Below are 27,752 nucleotides of genomic sequence, written 5' to 3' on the forward strand. Positions count from 1 at the left end.
CTCTGAGTTAAAACTGTGATGAGATTTGCACACCACCTATAGGTAGTTGCAGTGTTGATTTTAAGCAGTTACGATGCTACATCCAGAATAAAGGAGACACATCTCTTATCTAATTTCGCTTATCAGTCTAGACCGATAAATTCTGCCTCATTTTAGAAATAACACTCTGAGGTTCAACAATGACGAATGGAAAGTGTTTTCTAATGCTTGAGATAGAAGGCTGAAGAAAAAAGTTAGAATTGAAGGTTTGTGTTAATTTATGTTTCAACCAGTTTCCAGCTGTGTAATCATGAATATTTAACCCTTTTAAGACTGTTTTTTCTCCTCTGAAAAAGAGAGATAAATATCTGTTGCTTAATATAACTCATCCAAAGGATCCAGTGAGATAGCCCAGCTTAACAGTTAGCATATGACTAGCACAGCAAGCTCTCAATAATTACTACTTTCCATTCCCTTATGAAAGCTATGCCTCTCACAAAAAACCTCAATAAGTATTTTGAATTATATACTTTAATTAATTTATCAAATGAAAAAACTTAAAATATGAGCAAAGCAACCTTAAATACTGTAATTGTATTTGTAATGTATTTATAGTGAGTAGCCTTATTCAGTGCTACTTTACACAGCAGAACCAGATGCAGCTAGTAGAAACAGCTATAGGAAGAATAATATTTTAGTCAAATATAAAAATGAACTCTTAATGAAAAGTATCTGAAACTAGAATTAGCAGTTGGCGGAAGTACTATAATATATAATAGAATAATGAAAAACAGCCATTCTGGAATATAGTCAGGAATTGAGGCATTTGTGTGGAGGACAGACTGATCATGTTAGCATCTCTTTCAATTTCAGGATTCTATAATTATCAGCAACCTCACCACCCTGACAGCTGATAGGACCCCATGCAGTCTCTCAGTAAATAGATAAGAAAGATTATGCATTTTGATTCCTGTTGGTCATACCTGAGACTGAGTAACAGAAGAGAAAGCATGGGAATTACATAAAACCTAGATGTGTATATTGACTTTGCTGTTTCCTAACATTGTCGCTCTGGGAAGGGACTTTGTATTCAGATCCCTTTATCAATATAAGGTAGATGAAGATTTTTCAAATTTTAGCATACTAAGAATCACCAAGTCAACTGGTAAAACTGCTTATGCTCAAGATCCATTCCCATGTATTATTAATCCGTTGGTCAGGTAAAGAGCCCAGGAATGTGTATTATTGTAATAATCCCACGTAGATTTTCTTCTGTCAATATTTCATGTTAAACACTTTGAGAAATTGCCGGGCGCCGTGGCTCATGCCTGTAATCCCGGCGCTTTGGGAGCCCAAGGTGGGCAGATCACGAGGTCAGGAGATCGAGACCATCCTGGCTAACATGGTGAAACCCCATCTCTACTAAAAATACAAAAAATTAGCTGGGCGTGGTGGCAGGCGCCTGTAATCCCAGCTACTGGAGAGGCTGAGGCAGGACAATCACTTGAACCTGGGAGGCAGAGGTTGCAGTCAGCTGAGATCGTGCCACTGCACTTTGAGAAATTTTGTTGTTCATTTATTGCAGGTTTATTATGATTATTATATAAATATATAGATATTAAATATGTCACATTCAACCATATCATAGATATCCTTATTAGCTCCTTTTAAGAAGCAGCTCTGAAGTTTTAATACTCAAAGTCTCAAAATATTCTGTGGCCTAAGAATCAAACTTGGAATTATAAAACATGCTTATTTTTAGATATCTTTGTTGCTTTGTTCCACTTCCTGCCTATGGTATGCCCTATGTAAACCAGGCAGGGTCACTTAGAAAATGGCCCTCAGATTCCTTGTTCCTTTTTAAAGAAGACTTAAGAAACTTGAAATGGATCACTAAATTCTTAGCAGCATATTCGACTATCAGTTTGGGGTATGTACAAGTTACTCTAAAAGCTGCGTTGTTTAAATGATAATATTGGAGTCACATTGAGAAAGCAAAGGATGTGTCTACTCCATCCCATTTTCCTGCAGCTTGCAAATGTGCCTCATATTGTTTAATAGCATATCAAGAATTAAAGACATTGAACATTGTATTTTAATTTTCATTTAGGAATTAAGAGTTAATATTCAATGTAAACGTGTTTTGCAATGTTTCTGACTCCTATAAGTAGCAAACATTTAATTTTTCTTACTGTGCTGAGGAAATGAAAAACAAGGATGGCTTATGTTTAGCACCGGGAGCACTAGCTCAATTTCCTGCCATTACATCTGCTTGCAAGTCCCTTACCAAAGGGAGTCTATTCAACATAAAAATATTGCCTAGGGAAATGAGAAGAGAAAATGTGCAGAAAATAAATTCTAGAGCTGCAAGTAGAAAATTATGCCAGCTTTTTCATGTTAAGACAATTTTGGCTGAGATATAAGAAATCTAGTTTGCTATTATATCCAACATGCATTTTGTGGCATTTGATGGTTTGGATGAGTTGTTGGTAGATCCAATGCTTGGTTAACATAATTTTCTAGGCAAGTCATACCCTGCTGTAATTGGACTGAGAGACCACACAGCACTGTCATTCTGGGCTACATTCCATCAGAACATCTGAAGAGGTTGGCTTCATTAGAAGCATTTTTTATTGTCCTACTGTGGTATTTTTTTCAAGAAGAAGCAGGAATCCCTCCAAATAGTGTAGGAATGATAGGTAGATTCCAATGGTCTTTGGAAAAATGTTATATTTTATTCATATAAATCTCCATGTTTACTTTTCTATGACAACTTAACCATCCAAACATGTTAACCTAATTTGATTTATTTCCATAAATAGTATGGAAAGCTTAAGAAAAATGGTTAATCTATTAATATGGTAAATGAAAATAACCCAGTAACCGTGTTAATATATATTATAAAAATCATTGGCCAAACAATAACGTGCAAACACAAAGCATAATCTGATAAATAATTATTTTACTCCTCCCATTTACCTATGAGACACATAAGGACTTCCTTCTCTGGGTTTCCATTGTCCTTGCTGGATGAATGTATTTTGTCTTTCATCACAGTACACCTTGTATTTTGATTATTTGTATAAGGTTCTCATTTTGAATTAGATAATAAGTAATTTGAGGGCAAAGGCTATAAAAATATTTGTATTGTAAATTAAGGTTCAGAGAGGGAAGGTGACTTGCCCAGAGGCACCTGCTTGGGGGACATTGATGTCAGAACTTTCCTCCCTTCCCCTCGACCACTCCTGCCGTTGGCTCCATCAACTGAATTTGGAGTCATTGTCTTGATTTAATGTTACATTCTCAATCTTTTGACTTCTTGCTTTTCAGTTTCTTAACTTATAAATATTAAACCAGCACTAAAACATTGTTCTGTAATAAATGTGAAAAATCAATTTCCTGCATAAATTGGCATCATAGAAAAATTCAGTCAAAAACTATTGGTGTTTCTAAGTAGCATGGTACTCGATTTACTTTGTTTCTCTTTTGTAATATTATAAAAATTTTGCTTGTTTTTAGCCTATAGCTTGTCCCATCTCTTATTTAAATATGCAGAATGAACTGGATTTTTGTATTTGTCATAAATAGTTTTTGTTGGTAGAATTTCAGATTTACCAGTTGTGTATTTGCATTAATTATTCTGAGTTATTTTAATCTTTTAGAGTAAGATCATAAGAGACATGACTAATCTCTTTAGTGAAGTATAAAGAAGCGTTTAATAACAATAACAAAGTCATAGCAATTGGCAAGATCAGCGATACAAAGTAAATGAAAATTTGACAATGAATTTCTGAAAAGTTATTCCATCTGCTTTAATTCTTGAAGTTTTATTCTCTATTTCTGAGAGCAGGAATAGAGTATAATTAAAAATAAACAAAAAGCAAAAGAGGACATTATCTTTTTGTAATCATTTCAGTGATTATAAATTCAGTCATCATGCCCTTTTGAAAAAATCATTCTAAATATACTACTTTATTTCCATAAATAATTTCCAAATGGGATATCTGCACTGAAGTCAAACACATGCATGTATCATAATGAAAACCTTCTGAAGCATTTGAATGCCTTAGTTAGATTAGATGGGCTGATTGATCTGATGTTTCTGCCTTGAGGGGGAAAAAAGAATAAAAGGCATCCTTCAAGGTAAAAGTTACTCAAGGCAGGATGAATGCTTGATTACTGAGACTATTTTCTTTCCCTGTTAAATCATAAACACAAAAGGAGGAGAGGAAAAGAAACAAAGAACTGAGGGGAAAAACTCCAGCAATAAATTCTTTGGCAATGTCTAGATTTTGTAATGATCAGAATTAATATGTTGACCACAGAAGTGTAAACTTAAAGTGAGTATCAGTGCTTCTATTATGATAGGAATCAAACTTATTGGCAATATAGAGAAATTTTGACTGAAGGAAGGGAAAAATGAAAAAGGGAGATGAAAGATAGAACCAAATTGAGCACCTAATATGTGCAAGATATTCCATTAGGAACCTTTATATGTTTTTTAAAAATGTAATCAACTCTTCCAGCATCTGATTGATGTGGGTATTATTTTGTCTAGCTTACAGATAAAGAATCAGAGCCTCAGTAAGTTGAGGTAACCTTCCAAGTTCATACAATGAATGAAGGTAAAAAGAATTTGTCTTCATTCATTAGAGTTGCTATAACAAAACACCATAGACTGGGTGGTTTATAAATAATAGAAAATTTATTTTTCACAGTTCTAGAGGCTAGGGAATCCTCATTCAAGGCACTGACAGATTTGGTGTTCAGTGAGGCCCACTTGCTTAGTGAAAGCCATCTTCTCACTGTAATTTCACATGGCAGAAGAGGTAAGATGATGTCTCTGAAGCCTCTTTTATAAGGGCACTAGTACCATTCATGAGGCTCTACCCTCATGACATAATCACCTCCCAAGGGCTCCAACGCCTTATCCCATTACCTTGTGAGTTAGGATTTCAACATATAAATTTTGCGGGGACATAAATATTCAGATAGCAGCAAAATTCTAACCTAAGATGGACTATCTCTTTATTCACATTGCTGTGATTACCTTTATTATCTCATTTCACTGTGATATAAACATTTTGAAGGTAAATATCATTATCATCATTTAACAAATGAGATAAAATGAGGTTAAATTGGTATTTCCCACTTTGCCATAGGCAAATACTGTTCTGTGATTAAGTTTTCAACAGTATAAATAAAAAGAAAAGTGATATAGAATAAAAAGCCATATAACAACATATTAGTGGATTTTCCATTAATCTTTTATCTTCTGTCTTATCCTCATCCTCCTCTTTTTCCCATTCCTCTTCTTGTTTCTTCCTCTTCTTTTTTCTATTTCTCCCTCCGTCTCAGGATAATTTATGTTGTCATTGAATCCTTTGTCTATTTTTCAAATTAAAATTTTTATCTGAAATATTGCTGAAATATAGTAATCTATTTTTTGTTGATTTATATTCTCCAATGTCAAAATTTAACATTGGCAATTTCATTGTTAGTGGTGTCTAATTTTATTTTCCAATAAGATATCAAAGTCCAGGAGCTTCAATGTTCATGAACTTACCCACATTATCACAAATAGTAGGAAATAGAGTTGGGACTCAAATTCATTTGTACATGACTCCAAAGCTTATTCTTCCTGCCTTACTGTGGGACTCCCAGTAATGACTAGAGACATCACAGGATTAGAGTCTTCTGCACTACGCTGTGATTGTGTGTTCTTTTGCACACACAGAGATTATGTAATTACCAAGGTTTGTCTTAGCTACATACTTTTGTTGTTACCGTGATTGCTTTTGTGATCATATAATAATATTGTGTCAGTTGGCAGTTTATTGCCAGAAATCACAGAAACAAACAGGTTATTCTAGAGGTGTTGGTGAATATGTGTATCTGAGAGGCAGTGTTTAATCATTTTAATAGATGTATTTGTGGCTTATCCCACTTTATAATTTACAGACCCAGCTGTGTTTCTCCTTAGATCTCCTGTATAATTGAATGGGTGAACCGCATAGTGAAGCAGTTGAATTTGTGCATGCTTTCCTGATTAATTTGCATATTTTATTACTTGAATTTGCAGATCTTGGGTACTTTACTAATTAGGTTGAGTTTTACTTAATTGAGATGATGAAGGTATTTGGAAGACTTGTACTACTCTTTGTATTGTTTTAAATAATTCTCCAGACTAATATTTGATATTTTTTCTTTTTTTAGACATAAAATGATTCTTTTGAATAATTAATCCATCATTCACTACAATTTATTACATCTCTATCCATTCTTTCCCAAGTAAAATTATATTCTTTAATTATACATGCATAAAGAGAAATGATATCTGAACTTTTGCTTTAGTTCAAGAAAAAGAATTTGAGTTTGAAATTGATATGGAATGAAGACCTTAAGTTTTTAGGCACTTTTCAAATTTAAATGTTATATTTTTATGAACCTGTGTATTGCCCGACATGCCAGCTATACACAGATAAGCAGTTATTATACAGATGGAAATATATCATTGGAAAGTGACATATCAGTCATACCCCTCAAGAAAAGGGAAAAAGAAGAAAGGAAAAACAAAAAACGAAAAACAGAGGGAAGGGAGAAGAAGAAAAAGGAGGGAGACAGGAGAAAGGAAGGGAAAAAGGGAAGGGAAAGAAGGAGAGGAGGAGGAAGGGAGAGAGAGAGAGGTAGAAATAATGGATATAGAAATGATAAAGACAGAAATAGATAGTTACAACAATGGCCAAACAGATAGGTAGGCTTTATTTGTTATTTTGAAACTAACCTCCAGGGCCAAGCATGGTGGCTTGTAACTGTAATCCCAGCACTCTGGGAGGCCGAGGTAGGCAGATCACTTGAGTTCAGGAGTTTGAGACCAGCCTGGGAAACATGTTGAAACTCTGCCTCTATAAAGAATAAAAAAATATATATATCTGCATGTGGTGGCATTTGCCTGTACTCCCAAATACTTGAAGGGCTGAGGTGGGAGGATCACTGGAGCCAGGGTGGTTGAGGCTACAGTGAGCTATCATCACGCCAGTGCACTCCAGCCTATGTGACAGAGCAAGACCCTGTCAAAAAAAAAAAAAAAAAAAAAAAAAAGAAAGGAAAGGAAACCAGCAAAATGTCAAAGCACACCAATAAAGTTGTGTGTCTTTCCGTCTCCAACTTTATCATTGTGCTATGACATTTGACAATACCGAGTTTAATATATTTTATTTTTGTCAGTTTTATATACATTTCTTGCTTTGTATTAGTGCAATATTATCTATATAATTTCATATTATATGCTACCAGATTAAGCATTTTTATATAAATAAACATTGTAAAAACGTTGTCTTAATGACCACAAAATATTTTATCATTATTTAGTTAATCCGCATATTTTTGTTTGACCAATATCTTGTTTTATTTCTGTTATACAAATCACCATAATGAATACTTCTTAGTGCCCAGTTTCTTTTCTTTTTTTGTTTGTTCATTTAGTTTTGTTTTAAATTTTGTATTTTTTTTCAGAGAAAAAAATACCCCAAATTAAAATAAAATTGGCCTTCTCTATCCCTGGGTTTTACATCTGTGGATTTAACCAACCACGGATCAAAAATATTTGGGAAAACATACAACAGAAAATAAAACAAATAAAATATAGTGTAACAACTATTTACATCACATTCCTATTATATTAGGTGCCATAATTAATCTAGAGATGATTTAAAGTATATGGGAGAGCATGTGTAGATTATATATAAATATAACATCATTTTATTTAAGGGACTTGAGCATCCATGGATTTTGGTATCTGTGTGGGATGATGGAAGAAATCTCCAGCTGATATTGAGGGATGTCTGTACACTGAATTGTGAAAATATTTAAAGCCATTTATCCATCTTAATACAATATTTTCCAAAATATCTGTGTGAATATATCTTCACACCAGCATTGTAAAAGACAGAAAGGGAAAGAGAAGAGAGAGGAGTCTGCTTCAGCATGTTATAGCCAACAGTAAATGTATAGTTTTTGTTTATTGATATGTTTTATAAGAAAAATAGTTTATCATTTTAATTCTTATTTATATTTTGTGTAATTTGATCATACCATTTTATTCAGTGTCATGTGGATGGCATTGCATTAATGCAAATGCATCTGAGTAAGTTAATGTAGAACCACATTTCTTCCAAAACTGAATGGACCACATTAATCATTAACCACCATTTGTTAAATACATAATTTCAGAGAGTGGTCCACAATGATAAAAATACATATGATTTATTGAACATGTAATGTGTATCAGGAGCTTTATTCCAGGTTCTTTGTCTTTATTTAACCCCACAAAAATTCCATGAATACAATTCCATTTCCCTATTAAATAAATGGTAAACATGAAGAATAGGACAGTCAGACAAAGAACAGGTGAAAAAACCAGACTCAATATTAAACTTTCTGAATGCAGATCCTGCACTTCTCACTGCCTAGGGACTCAATTTATCTTCAGATATCTTGTAAGATAAACATTATTACTTCAACTTTATACATTTTGAACATGAAGGAAATGTAGCCTGAATATATTCCCATGTCTGCTTGTTTACAAAGCACATATTCTTTCCACTAGGTTGTACATTTTCAATTCACATACCATATAGTTTATTTTATTGTTTCTTATCATTCCACCTGTACTGATTTCCTTGGTGAAAAAGAAACATATTATACAATTATTATTTTCTGATAATATCTATATTGGCATTCATATTTAAAACACCATTAATATTATGCAGTCTACAGAATTATGTTGACATTTAAATAGATGGTGTATATTAAATTATGTATCTACTGCTTTATAATTGCTTGTTAAATATAAATTTCCTGTGTGATTAATTTCATTATCTCTTTCTTTATGTGTTAATGATGACTCTTAAAAAACATGAGCAGCATGTAAACTTCTTTTTTTAACTATTCAAATTTTCAGCAACTTCTCATGTAGACTTAAAAAAATAAAGCATTATTGTCAAGCATTAGAAGATATACTTAACTTGTGAAACTTGAAAACTAAATTAGCATACCTACTCTATTTCATAAAATCTCATGGAATTTCAAATTTGGTGTAGGTCTCAGAGGTGACCGAACCCATCCATTTCATGAAAATAGCCTAAGATTGTGGCTGTTTTGGCTTAATATCAACATTTCCAGTTCATTTGATTTTGGACTGTCTCTCAATTTAAGACATGTTCTTTCCATTTTCCCAATCTGCTCTCTCTCTTATCCTAGGCACGTCACTCAAGGAACAGAATATGCCTAGCCCTTCTCCCAGCATGATGGCCCTTGAAACATTTGATAGTATGTCTTAATTCTCCATTTGTTGACATTTGTGACTTCGCGAATTTCTAATGTTCATCTGAAAGATAAAAATCTCAAAATCTCTAGATATTGAGGTTTAATATGTTAGCATTTAAAACCATAATCATAACCAACTACTCAGACCAATCTCTAAATCAGTGCTTTGTTTGGAGATAACATTGACAGGCATAGTAAAAAAGAGAAACATGTTCTGACTTCCTACAAAACACAATTCACTTAGTGAATTCTTTCTTAAATATTTGATACCAAAATATGCATCTTAAACTATGGGAAAGCTGCTTGAAAGAGCCAAATGTTCTTGTAGTCAATGATGATTTTGGTCATGCATTGTCTCTGGGTTGTTCTCTACCATGTACCTAGGTCCCACAAAGCACCTGGCACACAGTCATCACCTGGTACATCTTTATTAAGGGCCAAGTGAATGAACCTTATTAACATTGCCTGCTGCTGTCATAATTGCCTATAACATTAATCCTTATGTTCATCATTATCATTGCTGCTACAATATATAATACAGAACACAGTGGGATGAGTGTCACTCAGATAAGTGCATTAAATATATGTCCTTATTTATTCCTTACAAATATTGATGAAAAAACTTGTTCCTCATTTTAAAAATACGAAAATTGAGATTGAGGAAAATTGAGTAATCCAAGGCCACAAAGCTAGTAGATTTAAGAATTTAAACATTGACTAAACATAGATTCCGTCACCCACGGGGTTTAACCTTATTCTTCTTTGTCATGAAATCTCTTATGTGAACAGCACTTTTTATCTGTTTCCAAGAGTCACAGTTCCATTTCAGGTTTTGCCAGGAAGAATTAAAAGAATGAAATTTCAATAATTACTCCAGGTAGAGGAATGAGGCAAAGAATATATCAGTGTGACAAAACTTTTTGTGTTTGTGTATGTATTTAACAGTCATAGTCAAAAGATAATCTATGAGTCAGAGAAGGTGACAGCAAAGATTCATTATTTTCATGCTCACTCATACACCTTCACTATGATTCATCAAAGTTAATCTGATGACTACGTTCTATGACACATCTTATTTGTTTAACAAAACAGTCTCCAACCTTCTAATTTCATCCATCTTCTCTGTCTGCCTCTGCACTTATCATGCTTAGCACACAAATAGTAAGAGGAACAACAATGAAAATTTGGCAGAATCTGCTTTTTTATACTAACCATAAAAACCTTCCAGATTTCCAAATGAGCATTTGTTGGAAGGAGGATTTCTAGGGAAGCTAGTTCAGAGTGTTATACAACATTTTGTCTTCTCGGGGGATTTTATTTCTTCTATTTTGTGACTGAAAAAATCTCCCAACTCTTCCTATTAGTTATGCATTACCAAAAGGCTATTTGAAGATGAGGCAAATTTTCATTCACTGTGGCATTGTCCAGTGATGGTCTCAGTGGAAAGGGGAGGCATGAGAGTTGGTAGTATAAAATGATTGCATAGAGCTTTTCAACACAAGATTTATGATCTTTGGAGATTTATAACTTGAACTGCTTATTAAATGATACGTGGGAGTTTACAAAATAATGTTTTGTGATCATTTGGGGGATAAACAAGCCTGAGCAAAGATTTAAATTTGTCCATTTGCTTATCAAGTTTGAAGAATAAGTAAAAACCTGTGGCAATGACATTCGCTAAGGGGCTCTAAGTGTAGCCATATAATGAATGATCTTAAGTGTTATTTAGCTAAATTCATGCTTTATTCTATAGGCAATGGGAAATCACATATTTGTGTGGGGGAGATATTTTTTCTTGTTTTGTTTAGATTGATTTTTATGCAGTGAGTTAGCATGATAAAATCCATTTTAGGAAGACATTTCTGGAGGCTGATCTGTTTGGGTTGGAGAAAGGTGACGTTAGAGAGAGTTAAAAGTTTAATTCAACAATCCAGAGATGAAATAAAGGGGTAAATGCCATTATCTCTGAAAGAGAAAGGAAGACTATAACGTGCTGAATTGTTTTCATGAAAAATTGTTTACAGCTTACCCACAAAAGGTTGTCTGTTTCTATCATCTGCAAGTTTCATTTTCAAAGCTGACATAGCATAATCCTCAAAATCCTCTGAGTTGAGACATTGAACCTACATATGGCAATTAAAACTACAAAAGGTATTGTCCTTGTTGTTGTCTGTGGTGAGTACATGTAAAGGGAAAACTCTGAAGGTTTATTATCCCTTGGGTTGAGATTCATTATCATTAAAGTAATAAAATTATATTTTTGGGATGGGAAGTTAATTATACTCTGATTACATGTAGTGTAGGTTTTAGGCACAGAGAGACTGAGTCATTTTAAAAAGGAACTTTAGAGAAGTGTTTGTTCATATCCTTTGGCCACTTTTTGATGAAGTTGTTTTTTTCTGTAACTTTGTTTAAGTTCTTTTTAGATTCTGGATATTAGCCCTTTGTCAGATGAATAGATTGCAAAAATTTTCTCCCATTCTATAGGTTGCCTGCTCACTCTAATAATAGTTTATTTTGCTGTGCAGAAGCTCTTTATTTTAATTAGGTCCCATTTGTCAATTTTGGCTTTTGTTGTCATTGTTTTTGGTGTTTTAGTCATGAAGTCTTTGGCCATGCCTAAGTCCTGAATGGTATGGCCTTGGTTTTCTTCTAGGGTTTTTATGGTTTTAGGTATTACATTTAAGTTTTTCATCCAAGAAGACATTTATGTGGCCAAGAAACATGTGAAAAATGCTCATCATCATTGGTCATTAGAGAAATGCAAATCAAAGCCACAGTGAGATACCACCTCATGCCAGTTAGAATGGCAATCATTAAAAAGTCAGGAAACAACAGAGGCTGGAGACGATATGGAGAAATAGGAAAAGTTTTACACTGTTGGTGGGAGTGTAAATTCAATCATTGTGAAAGACAGTGTGGAGATTCCTCAAGGATTTGAACTAGAAATATCATTTGACCCAGCAGTCCCATTACTATGTACCCGAAGGATTATAAATCATTCTACTATAAAGACACATGCACACATATGTTTATTGCAGCACTGTTCACAAGAGCAAAGTCTTGGAACCAATCCAAATGCCCATCAATGATAGACTGGATAAAGAAAATGTGGCACATATGCACCATGGAATACTATGCAGCCATAAAAAAGGATGAGTTCATGTCCTTTGCAGGAACATAGATGAAGCTGGAAACCATCATTCTCAGCAAACTATCACAAGGACAGAAAGTCAAACACCACATGTTCTCACTCATAAGTGGAAGTTGAACAATGAGAACACATGGATACAGGGAGGGGAACATCACACACTGGGGGCCTGTTGGGGGCTGGGGTCTAGGGAAGGGATAGCATTAGGAGAAATACTTAATGTAGATGACGACTTTATGGGTGCAGCAAACCACAATGGCACGTGTATACCTATGTAACAAACCTGGACATTCTGTACATGTATCCCAGAAGTTAAAGTATGGTTAAAAAATAAAATAAAAAGGTACTTTTATGTATTTTTCTTTCAGTTTTATAATTTAATTTAGTAATAGAGTCATGAAATAATATTTGGAACTCTAACTCCAAATATTTGAGTATTAAAACCTAACTTCTAACAAATGTTGCCAAGTTTCAACTTCTTGTCAGCCATATGAGAGAAGAAAAATGGTGCTGCCTTGACAAGCTCTGGAAGTGAGAGAGGGATGCTTATAAAAATCATATAGATTACAATTCTTTCGCTGGAGGAAGAGTCATACTGATGACATGTTTGAACAAGTATTGTATGTAATGATCGCTGTAGAGTGCTGTTCATAAATCTCTTTAGATTCCAACACAGAGAACGCATTGACTTCTTAGAAACATAGACATGTTACTGCAGGATATTTACAATGTAATTGTTGCTTAATAACTGCCAGATTCAGTATAAACATCACTGCTTGAGCTACCTCAGAGTTCTTGAACCGTACCTACTCTAATCATCTCAGTATTTCCCATCTCAGCTTACCTCACAACTGCTACCTTTGATGCATCCCCCTCACTTACAGAATGTTTACTTCTGCTTTTTTGTCCTCATGACTCTATCTCAAAAAACTTTATTCATCGCTCAAGCCTCAGTTCATCCTTCATGAAGAAATCGATAGCCCTAATTAGCCATGAGTGATATTTTTCTTCTTTTCTGGATAATACAGCTCACTGATTCATCAGGCCCAAATGTGTACCAACCATTTACTTAGGGATCTTGGTAGAATATTGCAAAAGCATTGATATTATGAGAAACGTTTTTTGGTTTTGTCACAAACTGTGTTGTTACCTGAGACTGCAACATGTGAGGTGCTATCAAAATCTAAAATATTATATAGTTAAATAATAAAATGGAAGAAAGAAAATATAAATCTTTGAACGATCCCAAATTTGCAGCAAGAGACTTTGCCTCAGTTGCAACAGCAATAACTTTATGACCTTGAGGATGTTATGCAGATCTGTTGATCTTGTTGTCCTCATTTATAAAAAAGATAAAAATATCTTGAGTATTGATATGAGAATTAAATCACATGAAATATACATCAAATCAATTTCAGCATCTGGTACATAACAGATACCTGGTAAGTTATGGTGTACTAATTCATAAATTAACATTTCTTTATTTTCAATTTTCAAACCCCAGCTACACGTACAACATCTGGAAATAATAACAGTTTTGATCACTTGAGCATGTTTTCCCAGTGAGTAATACACTGTATGTGTGTGGGTGTATAAACTAATATATACATAAAATAGCAGAAAATATATATTCTGAAAAAAGTTAACAAAAGGAAAATAAAAAGTGACAGGGTATACATGTCTATATTTCAATATTCAGTAGTTTCAATTCATTTTATCAACTTATTCACTTATATCATATAGCTGGCAAACAATTATACTTGGAATGAAATAAAACGTTAGTTCTTTATTTGATTATACTATAAATTTTTTCTTCAATTTATAATTTTTTGCAGGAATTTCTTATTTTTTTTTAATTTGTTGTTAGGAACTCTTATGTGAAACATCAAGGATGTTTCTTGACATGTGGCCATCTGAGTGAGTTTAGTGGTGTCAAATCTTGTGTTAATTGCTTACTTCTTATTTATTTAAATAAATACATGAGCATTAACAGTTCTATTGTTTTCTTTCTGTCATCCCCGTAATATGTGTTTGCATACCTATGCAAACATCCAAATGGGAGTCTACTCATTTAGGGATTGAGCTGAGTGAGGACTAAAGAGATTAGAAAATAAAACCTTAAGGTAAGAGCACTAAGAAACACAGAATTTTAAGAAATGAAAGAGCCAGCAGTATACATAGCAAAAAGAAGTTAAGCAGAAAGACAAATGGAGAAAAGATTCACTTATCCTTTCACCTAAATTTATCTATATATTATGTTCACAAAATTATTTAAATATTAACCATCCCCCAGAAGTGTATTTATTTACAAATTTTCTAGGGTCCACCTTCAAAAAATGTGGAGCCAGTAAATAGACTACATTTTAATAATCAAAGCAAAGGCAAAGCAAAGATAAGATATTTATTATCTTGTCAGGTTCAACTGACAAACCAGGCCCATCTAGATAATCTCCATTTCTATTAACTCAAAGCCAACCAACTACCTGATCATAGGAGTTATATTTCATCACATTCATAGGGTCTGCCTGTGAGAACCTATCAAGAGGAGGTTGTTATATAAGGTTTGCACACCAGTGGGTGAGAAACATGGGGAGCATCTTAGAATCCTGCCTGTTAAAATATCCCAGTTAAGTCCCTAACTAGCATTTGAAATTTTTAGAATATGTGTTGTAAAATAATTGTTTTTCCATAGATTAAAACATTTAAAGATCATATGTTTCAGATACATGATAAGTTCATATATAAGTTTCATAAAATGGCATTGTGAATGACTGTGTATGGTGTGTGTGTGTGTGTGTGTGTGTGTGTGTGTGTGTGTGTGTGTGTTACTGAAGGCTAAAATTATAAACTGCCTGACAAAATAAGAAAAAACTTTCCTATTGCCCTTCAAACTTTCCTATTGCCCTTCAGTTCACATCTTGAAAAGGTTCCCTTCTTTGAATCACCTTTAGCCGTGACCTTGAAGTTTTTTCTTGTGGCAGGGTCCAAAAATTCCACAGATGAAAAACAGAGCCCTATTCATGTAAACTGACACGAAACCATTCGTGTAAAGCATATGTGTATGTCTTACACTTTCAGCACAATTAACAATGACCATGTCATGCAATTTTGTAAATCATAAATCTACTGAGGTATGATAATGTGTTTTATGAAACATACCTATTTGTATCTTGATATCACTTAACACAGTTCTAATCTATAGTAAATATATAAACAGCAATTAAGTTGAAACAGAATTACCATCTGTAATTTATTTCACATATATTTATATGTCTATTTTACATGTTAAATCACACATGATGCTAAATGACGAGTTAACGGGTGCAGCACACCAACATGGCACATGTATACATATGTAACAAACCTGTACATTGTGCACATGTACCCTAAAACTTAAAGTATAATAATAATAAAATTAAAAAATAAAAATAAATGTAGGTGCTTTGTTGATCGAGTTTAAATATAAAGTTTATATTTAAATGTAGTTTACATTTAAATGTAAGTGCTTCATTGATCATAAACTTATCAATGAAGCACCTACATTTGAAAAGTCTTTCTACAAATTGCTTTCTATTTGAAGTAATCTAGTTTTTCTCTTTGGGGTGGAAATCTGCTTTTCAGGAAGGCAAATTATTAAACTTACACAGGGTGGGGAACATCACACACCGGGGCCTGTCATGGGGTTGGGGGAGAGGGGAGAGATAGTATTAGGAGATATACCTAATGTAAATGACGAGTTAACGGGTGCAGCACACCAACATGGCACATGTATACATATGTAACAAACCTGCATGTTGTGCACATGTGCCCTAAAACTTAAAGTATAGTAAAAAAGAAATAAAAAATTTAAAAAAAGATAAAAAAAAATAAATAAATCACACATGATGAAAAAGCATATAAAGTTAAAGCAATGGAAAGAAAAAAATGTAACTGGTTTTAGGCACCTGAAATAATTAAACAAATGATTCTTGTGCATCTAAACTATGTCACGCACATACACTAAGCATATTGATTTTATGTTTTAAAATGTATAGAAATTGTCTGTGATGGATATTAATATCCTTATTTTCAGTTGATTAAATTAAAGCCCAAGGATATTGCAGAACTTCCCCTGATAGATAATTAGTAGGTGAAAGAACTGGGACTTGAACATAGATATGCCTGATCTCAAAGCCTGTGCTATCATCTTACAGAGGTTGCCACTGGATGTGACCTGCAGGCACTTTCCATCATTACACTTAAATCTCTCTGATACTCTTTTTAATATGTTCTTGTTTATGTATGTATTTATGCTTTCTCCACTAGAGTATAACCTCCACTGACATCAAAGTCCTTGACTTTTTTTATTGTTCTATTTTCAGTCAGTGCCTGGCTCATAATAGAAATTCAGTAAATGTTTGTGGAATGAATGATTAAAGTATAGAACTATTTTTGAAGCTCAATTTGGCTCTTAGTGTTGAGGCAATTTAAGGATAACAAAGGTAATTTATTAGATTGTCTATATTTCATTTGTGTGGCCAAAAAGGGAAAAATAAAAATACATTTGTGGAAGCAAAAGTTACTGCAATAGTTTTCGATAAAATTATATTTACTCTTTAGATAACATTGGTTACTCTCCTTAGATCTTAGCTATAGTTGCAGTTTTCTCTCAGTGACCCCACCTCTTACCCTGTAATGTAGTGTAGCTTTTTTAAATTAAGAGGTTTTATTTAAGAATTAAATTATGTTGTTTCCAAGGGAGCTTCCCTAGAAGTAAGCCCATTGGTTTAATTCTATATTCAGTGATTACCATTATAACCCCAAACCCAAGTTTTATTGGATAAATCTTTAAATATATAAACACAATTTGGTGTCATCTTGAAGCCTATATTTTCTCAAGTATCTTTTCTTTCCAAAGCAAAACATGAATATAGACAATTTGTTGCAGAATCAGGAGGACCAGAGAGACCTTGGGGTATGGCAGGATCTTTATTGAGTGCACTCACACCCAGCAGACTTAACATACAAACACTGGGCTCAGAACAAAGACAGCACTTGACTTTTATACACACTTTAAAAAGGGGGTGGGCTAGCTTGAAGCAAGCTTACAGTTACAGTGGCTCAAAAGCAAGGATACAGAGGCAGAACAATTAATTAAATTGTGACAGGTTCATAACTAAGGATTACACATGACCATTGCCAAGCAATCCAGATGTCTGTTATCTAGATTTTGCTTTAAAGAGCCTTGCACTGGTTTATCTTCTAACCTTCACTATGGTGCCTAGACAGCTGTAGTTCAGGCCCACTCAGGCTTCTTATGACCTTCATTGTACTTTTTAGATAAAACAGAATACTTGAAGTTACTAGTTACAGAGAACAAGAATCTATAAACTCATATTATAAAACAAAGGAAACTTTGGTTTTCTTCTCCCTGTGTGGAGGAAGTGCTGGGAGAATCTCCGGAACACATTCCTTTGTGTCCTGGCTTCTTAGATAGTATTATCAAGACATTCCCTGGGTCTGGGCTGTGCCCATTGCTGCCTCTGGGACAAGTTAGCCTAATACAGGAAAGCTTATTTCTCTTTTTAATTTTATTTTTTTCTTTCTTTAATTTCCCACCTAAAATTTTTGTTATATTTTAGCTTTATTGTTAAAAAAGGAGCATTCGTAAGAAACGTTTTTGCAGCCCCTCTACTCAGCACCTTCTTCATTTCCTTTCCTTCTCTTCTCTCTACCTTTCCTCTTATTTTTCTATGTTTGGTAATTGCATCACTGTTGATTCTGTGACATAAAATAATGTCAGTGTCAACTGATCATAAATATTGTTTTGTAACCATTAATGTTAGTAATGACAATAATCAAAGGAGGAGAAAGAAAAAAAGGAACGATCACTATTTGTTAATCCATGCTGAATACCTGTTTATGTTTTCTAATTTTACCCTTAAATTAATTCCATAAAGAAGCAGACCCATTTTACAGCCAAAGAACCCGAAGCCCAGCGAAAAATAACTTGATCAAGGTCATCAATGGATAAGTATCAGAGCTAAAACATAAAGCAAAGTCTATTTCACTCCAAAGCACTTTTAACCAATAGTCAAAACTACTTTTATACTACAACATTGGAAATGGGTCAAATTTGTCTTGCCTTCCTTCACAACAGTTCTCTGGAATTTTTGATAGTCTGTGTCCTGTTTGCAACAGAGTGAGGGAACTCTATTAGAAACCCACCCTTTGTGCCTCATCATATTGAGCTCTATTTCAGCAAAGGCTATAAGTTTAGTAAAAGGCTTTATTAAAGCAGAAAACCTATTCAGTATAGTAATGTGGCCTTATCTCTGGTGCCTCTCTGAGACTCACTAACAATTTTATGAACCATCTTACAAAATTTCCACAATGCCTGTGACGCACAGAAAGAGTAAATTTAAAGTTGCTATTCATTGTAAGATAAAAGTATCAGAAAAAGCTACAGCTGCCTTCTAGACATAAAACATTTTCTTTAATGTTGAAATGTAGTAAGTTTTCATTATTCAGATGATCAAAGGCTTATCTCGAATAGTTGGTTGTGCTAGCATTAATGAAATATATTGCATAGCAGATCTCGTAGTGTTTTCCTCATGACAATGACCTCAAGTGAAGCTTTACACATAAAGAATTTTAGGTCAAAGATATTCAAGAAATACGTACATTATATCTCCTTCTTAGAGATTTATAACATATTGTGCATTATGAAGTGAATATCAAATTTCATAGGTACATTTGAATTGCTAGCATGCCGATTAAAAATGCAAACCCCATATTTATAGGACAGAATTATCACCCTGGTGTGTTTTTTTAGCAGTCACCTCCTGTGATTATGTGATCAGATCATTCAAGATCAAAACTTTAAGATATTGTATAAGATTTCTGAGAAGAACTACAATAAATACAACTGTTTAATGTTGAAATCAATTTTTCCCTAAACTTAAATGACAGGAACTCCACTCTTACCAAGTGCATTTTGGGAAATCCTACACTATGCAAATTACTTTCTGTATGAACAACATTTTTTGAGCTTGATTTCTTACAATTAGTTAATTTTTCGAAGGGTAAATGCAAGAATAATAAAAACAGCAGCCAATTGGTTTATTAGAGCAAAACAGAGTGATTATAATATTTCCAGAGAAATGTGAGGTTTGAATTATAAATCATACAACAAGAAATTTTTCCTTAGGCGGTGTAGAAGATTCCTCTATGTATATAAAGGAATACATAGTATTAATATTCAGAATACTTAAAAAGTATTTAGAATTAGGTGGTTAAGAATTCAGCTATTGATTTTTAGTCTTATAGTGACAATCTCTCTTTTTCTGTATACTGTAGGCTTATTTAGAAGAACCAATTGTGTATAAAATGTGCCTAAATGTGGCCATACAAAGAAAGCAGGCATTTATGAAAATTCTAAAGTATTGAACTATTTCATGGCCAATATTTTAAAATTATTTATTACTTATTTAGAGATTATATATCGACCACTTTTTGGTAGGCATCTAGCTGCGATCTAGTGGAGATAAATGTTGCCCCTGTCTTAAAGTTATTCACAATATATTGGGGAGGCAGGCATGATTACACATATAAAAACAATGGTAAGTGTTACAGTTGTTATAAGCATTACCTTTAGAGCATGGAAGGATGACTGAGTCTGTCTAGTAGTAGAAAAGATAAATTATGGCAGAAATGAGTAGCTGGTTTTCAGGGGCCTGCAGTGAAAGAAGTGGGGTAGCACACACATGGGCAGAGAAACGTACAGATACATGGTTTGTGTTCATTTAAGAGCAATATAGTGTGAGAATAGAGGGAGCATAAAAAATAACCTTTAAAATCTGAATTAGAGTAGATTTAATCTACTATAAACCTTTTTATTTATCTTCCACTCAGAATTTTTAGAGTTTAAAGTCAACTTAGCTCTCTATCCCCTGATTCATCGCTTGGAAATAAACTTATTTTTTTGATGTCAGTGGGTCAGTGGTCATGAATTTTATATATAATTATATACAAATATAATAATTATATATATTCTTTTTTGAGACAGGATCTCACTCTGTAGCCTAGGTTGGAGTGCAGTGGCATGATCACAGCTCATTGCAGCCTCAACCTCCCGGGCACTTCAGAAGGTGATCTTCCCACTTCAGCCTCCCAGGTAGCTGGGACCACAGGCATGTGCCACCACACCCAGCTGCTTTTGTTTTTGTTCTTGTTTTCGTTTTTGTTTTTGTTTTTGTAAAGAGAATGTTTCACCATGTTGCCCAGGCTGGTCTCAAACTCCTGGGCTTAAGCAATCCACCCACCTCAGCCTTGCAAAGTGCTGCAATTACAAGTGTGAGCCATTTCACCTGGCCTAATGTTCACAAATGATTAAACTCTTAGGCTCTGCCTTGCACGTGGAAAAGATTATGAGAAATATAACAAACGCACACACAAATGCAGATTCTTACACTACATATGTTGCTGTTAATTTAAAACTATGTATATGATAAAGAAGAAAGGAAGAGAGGAAGGAGGAAAAGTATCAGTAAGTAAAAAAAGAAAGGGAGGAAGGAAGAGAGGAGGGAAGGAGGGAAGGAGGAAGGGAGGGAGGAAGGGAAAGAAGAGGGAACTAAGGAAGGAATGAAGGAAGGAAGGGAGGAAGGGAAAAAGAGGGAAGGAAGGGAGGGAGGGAAGGAGGGAGGGAGGGAGGATTGAATATTTTAACCCTGGTTAAAATAGAAGTGAAGCCCAAGTGGAATCCTTTTTTTTTTTTTTTAATTTATTTTTTTTTTTCCATTGCTAACACTTCATCTTCCTTTAAACTGGTGAAGCTAATAAGTAAGATCAGATATTCTGGCCAGTAAAATGACTGGGATCTTAGTTCCAGAAATATTATCTTTTAAAAAAGATACTGAGGATTTTATGCAAGACAGATTGGTGGTCACATTACTTACATTGCTTCCTAGCTTGCAATATTGATGTTCCTGCAGGCACTCTGATAATTGACATATATAAATCACAGAGTCTGGATGCATTGTAGACATAGTAGTTTTATAATCTTTTACTTCTTTTTAAATGTTTTACAGGAAAATAATTTTCCATTGGAATTGTACTTCTTTGTAGTAGCTGACTGCCATAAGCACCACTGTGATCCCCAAACCAGTCAGGAATGCTTGCTCTCTCCTTGAAATCCCACTGCTGTGGTGATTATTTTTGTCCCTAGCTTTTGCCCTTTCAGTATGGATCAAAGTGATAGAATCTTCTCAACAGGAAGAATTCAAGAGAGTGTTTTTGACTCCCCCCTCCACTTTCTTTCTTTAACTTCATTGATGTATTTTTAATTGCTACTTTTGTAGGAGGGCAGACCGTGTTCCATGAAGCACAAAGAAAGTCCCCCAAGTAATGCCACTGCAGAAACCGAGCCTATCCCACAGGTATGTGTTTGTTTTATTTCGTTTGTGTCAAAAAGCATTTATTGGATCCATTGTATTTATTTATTTATTTTTATTTATATTATTTTTTATTTTTTATTTATTTATTTTTTTGAGACAGAGTCTTGCTCTATCTCCCAGGCTGGAGTGCAGTGGCGCAATCTCGGCTCACTGCAAACTCCACCTCCAGGGCTCACACCATTCTCCTGCCTCAGCCTCCCGAGTAGCTGGGACTACAGGCGCCCACCACCACGCCCAAATTTTTTGTATTTTTAGTAGAGACGGGGTTTCACTGTGTTAGCCAGGATGGTCTCGATTTCCTGACCCTGTGATCCTCCTGCCTCAGCCTCCCAAAGTGCTGGGATTACAGGCGTGAGCCACCGCGCCCGACCAGATCCATGGTATTTAACACTCTTCTCTCTTGCTCTTGCTGGGGCAGGATATTGTACTTGCTAGTACTATATGTAAAGCCATGGTGCCCCTGGGCTTTTCCAAGGCTGCTCTGCTTTCTACTAAGCTTTTGGCTTGACTATATGAGGCTCTCAGAAGGTCAAGGGTGAGGGGAGTTCTTCCTCACTTCCACCCTCCCTCTCACAGACCAGGAAACAAAACAAAAATAAACAGGGATGATCACACAGGCATATATTTCTTTTTGTACAAAGGAGACTAAAGAGGATTTGAGGAAGCAGAGGAGGTGAAAAGAAGTACATATTACTTACAAGAACAAACAAAATAAACACAAGTCAAGAGCTTAATTCTGAATTTTTATTTGTACTGTATTATACTTGACCAAAAATATTGTATCATTGACATTCTTAATATTTATTTCACTTAATACTAAAACGTGGAGTTAGATTTAACTTATTTTCAAACTTTGAATTAGATTAAACAGAATTGAATGGCTTGGGCAAAGTTTTTTCAAAATAGTTTTTGAAATGTTTTGCTGTTTTTAGGCAAAATATTGTTATGTACTTTTATGAAATATAATTAACATCTTCACATTTGTTTCATTTCTGTCCTGTGTTCATTTTCTCTAAGATATTTGTTGAGATCTTTGAATTTCCATTCTTATTCTTTTAGACTTTTCAATTTTTACCTTAAAATGTGTTATTTTGATTCTTCGAATTGTCTTTTCTGTATTGTTTAACAGAAATTGCAAATGCCTCCTTGCTCTGAATGTGAGGTGAAAAAAGCCCCAGAAAAACCATTGACCAGCTTTGAAGGGATGGCAGCTAGAGAAGAAAAAATACTGTAAATACTAAGAAACTGTGTTAAAAACGTCCATTTGCTATTGTCTTCATATTCTTTTTAGACCACAAGCTTGATGGAAATACTGTTTCTAAAGCATGCAACTTTTTCACAATTTTATGTAACTTTATAAAGTAGCCTACACATTTTCAAAGATTCCAGACCAATTATGATCCTTAAGCAATAACCTCATTGAATTGAATACCCACAGTCAGAAATATTTTGTTGTCAACAGTAAATTGTCCCATATAAATTGGTCTGGTTTAACTCAAATGCTATCTAACATGTAATTCTCCCGGTTCATTTGGATATCTAGTACTTCTATGATATAGTTGTCAAAATCAACTGGAGGATAATAAAATATTGTGGGTTCTCAGCATTCTTAGAATCCAAATTACAACCATATCAGTAAGGGTTTGGTCCACATGAGCCAACTGAAGTCATTTTCCTCAAGGTTGGAATTTGTGCCAACCTAAATACGTTGTTTCTTTGATGGTGTTTATTGCTATTGGTATTATTTTGAACTAATAACAATTATTTTGTCTAAATAATGCTAAGACAATTCTGTTAAGAATTTTGTCAGCTAACATAATTCATTAAGTATGTTTGGCATCATATGGACAAAATATTTGGATGAATGACTAAATTTCTGACACAATTAAATATTTTGGCATTCTATAGACACATCTCCTATGTATGTCTACTGTAATTAATCCAAGTTAATAACCAAGTTTTCTGAAATACTTGGCAGGATTTTTGGTATGAAGTTGGGTAGTGGAATAGGGAATGAAGAGTGAGTTCTAAAATACAAATATGAAAGCAGGTAATATATATCACAAAACAGGGGTCTGATGAAAGTACAATAGCCATGTTGATTCAATAAACCCAGATGCATATTTTTTGAAAACCAATGTGTTATTGAAACAAATCAATGGCAGTGTTAATCCATAAGAGTTCTGATTTTCTATAGGAATATCACTAATCAAAAAAATGCACTCATGAATAATTGGAAGATAGCTCACAAGCAAGAGGAATTGACCCTTGAATAATTATCTGATTAATAGGTTTCATAGGGCATTCAAAGTTGCAGACTCAGTTAATGACTACAGTTAAGTTGTCTGGACTGAAAAGTCATTTCTTTTGTTTAGAACCTTTTTGCAACCGTAGAAAGCATATTAAACCATTGGTTTTGCAGGATGGATCTGTCAAACCACAATATATACATTTGGATCAGTGTATCCTAGGAGACAGTTAATAAAAATGTATTAAAGGAAATCTTTAATCAATAAATGAACTTAGATTCTGAGATTTAATGGCATACCTCTGATCAAAATGGCATATTTAAAGAAATTTAAAGATTTGGAGAATTGGAAAATATCGTTAGCTGTAAAAGTAATATTATGACATATTTATGTAGCACTTCTATTTTCAGAATAGTTCAGTGTCATTCATTAGCACAGGCAGGTCCCAACCACAATGGTTCAACTTAACGGTTTTTTCATGATTCTGTGAAAGCTTCATAATTTCTACATGCTTTGAATTTTGAATTTTGTTATTTTTTGGAGGGCTAGTGATACATGGTCCATGAAATATTCAACACTTTATTATAAAATAGGGTTTGTGTTAGACAATTTGCCCAACTGTAGGATGAGGTATATGTTCTGAGCACGTTTAAGCAGGTTTAAGTTAGGGTGGGCTATGATTTTCCATTTAGGTATCTGAAATGCATTTCAGACTTACAATGTTTTCAACCTTTGACTTCTTTATCTGTATGTAATCCTATTGTTAAATCAAGGAGCATTCATATTTTTCATAAAACCGGCTACCCAAGGAAAAAAATAATTAGCTTTATGGATGATCCATAGAGCTTTCAGATGAAGTGACTAGGATAAAATAAAAGATGAAGGTCTGAGGTTTCTTCTGACTCCTTCATATTTCTAAAAATAATCATACAAACTAGAATACTGCTAGTCTCCCAAGTCCTGTTCCTTGTAATTCTCCCACTGTTCTCAGTGGCCCTAACCATCTCTATAGGTTCCTGACAGGGAAGCAGATCATTTAGTTTTAATTTATGTTCAGTCTCCCACCTCCACCCTGGGGCCCAACTTCCCTTGCAGGCCTTGTGGGTCCTATAGAAAGTTATTCACCATGTAATCTAGCACAGCATGTTTTGAAGCATCTTTGGAATGAAAAAAAAGAAGAATCAGGCTGTTATTTCCTGAAATTGTTATGAGAGATAACATGTTGAAAGGTAAGAACTCAGGTTGATATTAATCATGTTTTTATCAATCTTCATTTTAAAGTTGTTTTTGTTCTGTATATTCTAAATTCCTTTTATTAATTCCTGGCTTGATCAAGTGGGCTTTGGATCCATATGATTTTTTTTTTTTTTTTTTTTTGAGATGAAATCTCGCTCTTGTTGCCCAGGCTGGAGTGCAATGGAGCGATCTTGGCTCACTGCAACTCTGCTTCCCAGGTTCAAGTGATTCTCCCTGCCTCCGCCTCCCAAGTAGCTGGGATTACAGGTACCTGCCACCATGCCCGGCTAATTTTTATATTTTTAATAGAGACGGGGTTTCACCATGTTGGCCAGGCTGGTCTCGAACTCCTGACCTCAGGCGATCCACCTGCCTCAGTCTCCTCCCAAAATGCTGGGATTACAGGTGTGAGCCACCGTGCCTGGCCAGTGTGTTTTTTTCCTTTAAATATATATGGCATTATACATCCAGCAAAGTTTACTGTGTTATACTCATTGCATCATTTGTTTAAAAAAAAAAAAGAAACTTGTAGCAGGAGACATTTAAAAATATATTTAGGAGTTCCTTTTAATAACTAAGTTAGAGACTCTCTTTCAGTAAGTTCTATGACTGTACCTTAATGAATGCATTTTATTTATCTCAATTTTTATTTGCTTCAAAATAGAATCGGATAAGTTTAAAATGTTCCTCTTACATTTGTGAATGTGTCTATGAGAGAGGGGCCATTTCTCACATATTTTAATTAACAACTAAATAAACAGACGTTGTTTTAAAGGAATTAACACTTAAATCCCAACCATCCTCATATAGAATAAAATATCAACCTAAATCTTTACTATAGATAGTATAATTCTATTATGTACCTGTAATGATAAGCATTGAAAGATTATTTACATTTTGAAAAACATGGAATTGATTCTTATTAAGAAAAAAGATATTTTCCAATGGAGTAACTTGTTTTAATAGAGGTACAACCAGAACCAACAATTGTATTTCTCTATAGTTATTTTAAAATAGTAATCAATGCTATGTATTTGATGTATATGTTTCTAAATTAGAAATTTCTTTTGGCTTTGTGTTTTTTTAATGTGCGTTAAATATGTAAACTGAACCTGTTCCTAAAATGCATTAAACTTGAATGCTGTGTCTATCCAATGCCAAAATGCTCAGAAGAAAAGTGAATAATTCAGTCATTCATCTGGATGTAGTTTTCTGTGTAATCTCAAATATCTGAATATTGAAAAAACTAGGTTGCTAACTTTTTTCATTCCTTATGCAAATGTTTAGCATCATAGTGCTGTTTCAGATACAGATCTGTTTCATCAAATATCCTCAATTACAAGTCTAAGACAGTTATATGTAAAGAAAATGTATTATTTTAGATGAACAATGTGGATAACTGAACTAAAACGATATTTGTGAACTTTGCTATAATGAAATCTTTTATTTTTATAGCTCAGGTATTGTAATTAGCACTAATTGCAGCAGAGACTGAAATAATTATTGACACCGTAGAGTACCATAGAGTAGGTTGAACTGGCCAGACCTAGACAATGAAGAAAACACATACTGTTTACTTAGGAGACATTTTCTTAGTCGTGTGTATAGTCCTAAATTTCCCCAAACTATGTGTTCATTTGGATTGTGTTATATAATAACAGTCGAATGATGAAGAATAAAAGATGCTGAAAGATGGCCTATTTTTGTTCAATAAAGATTGTTACAAGAATACAATGTATATTATCTTACATAAACTAATTGAAAAAGCAGATATGAACATTAAAAATGGTACTTGCTTCTGTGTATCAGGATGTAAGAACTTTTCTTAAATAGCATCTTGAAATTTTTTTTAATCTTTCTTTGCCAATGACCCCAAAATCTTTTATTTTGCAGGTGCTTTCTTTAAAAAAAAAAATAGAGTTCCATGGTCACAGGGATTTTGTCTTTTTTTTAATTTGAATTTTTATTTTTAATTTATGAATTATTGTGATGTGTAATAGGTACAATGTGATGTATCTCTATATATGAACACACATGTAGCGGAATGATTATATCAAGCTAATTAACATATCCATCACCTCACAAATTAATCTCAAGTGCTTGGAGCTAGCTGCCTCATACAAGATGCTCAAACATTTGTTGAATAAATTAATTTAGAGGCTGAAGCAGCAAGGGAACAAGCAGGGGAGCAGCAAGGGAGCATGTATTGGCATGAGAACAGAGAACCATAAGAACCAAAAATAAGCATTTTGTTTCGTTTGTTGCTTTGTTCTTAGACTATCTTTTTTTTTTTTACTTTTTCTTTTTCTTTTTCTAAAAGCTTTAATAATAGGCCTGTGGCTGGGATTTTCTAAGCAGAGTAGATAAGGCACTCCT

At 33.9% G+C, this 27,752-nt stretch overlaps 1 protein-coding gene across 5 annotated transcripts in view; it reads left to right on the forward strand.

Annotated features, from left to right (window-relative positions):
- LUZP2 (leucine zipper protein 2) overlaps nt 1-27,105 on the forward strand; it is a 585,586-nt gene extending 558,481 nt beyond the window's left edge. For 3 of the 5 annotated variants that reach the window (NM_001009909.4, NM_001252010.2, NM_001252008.2), the window contains 2 exons: nt 21,796-21,873; nt 23,021-27,105. In NM_001009909.4, the coding sequence (NP_001009909.2) occupies nt 21,796-21,873; nt 23,021-23,125 (183 nt within the window). In that variant the 3' untranslated portion in view covers nt 23,126-27,105. Of the gene's footprint in view, nt 1-9,240; nt 10,874-21,795; nt 21,874-23,020 lie in introns of those variants that run through there. The other 2 variants (XM_047426868.1, XM_017017648.3) reach the window with 1 other exon arrangement.

Source organism: Homo sapiens, chromosome 11 (assembly GCF_000001405.40).
Source record: "Homo sapiens chromosome 11, GRCh38.p14 Primary Assembly".
NCBI classification, from domain to species: Eukaryota; Metazoa; Chordata; class Mammalia; order Primates; family Hominidae; genus Homo; species Homo sapiens.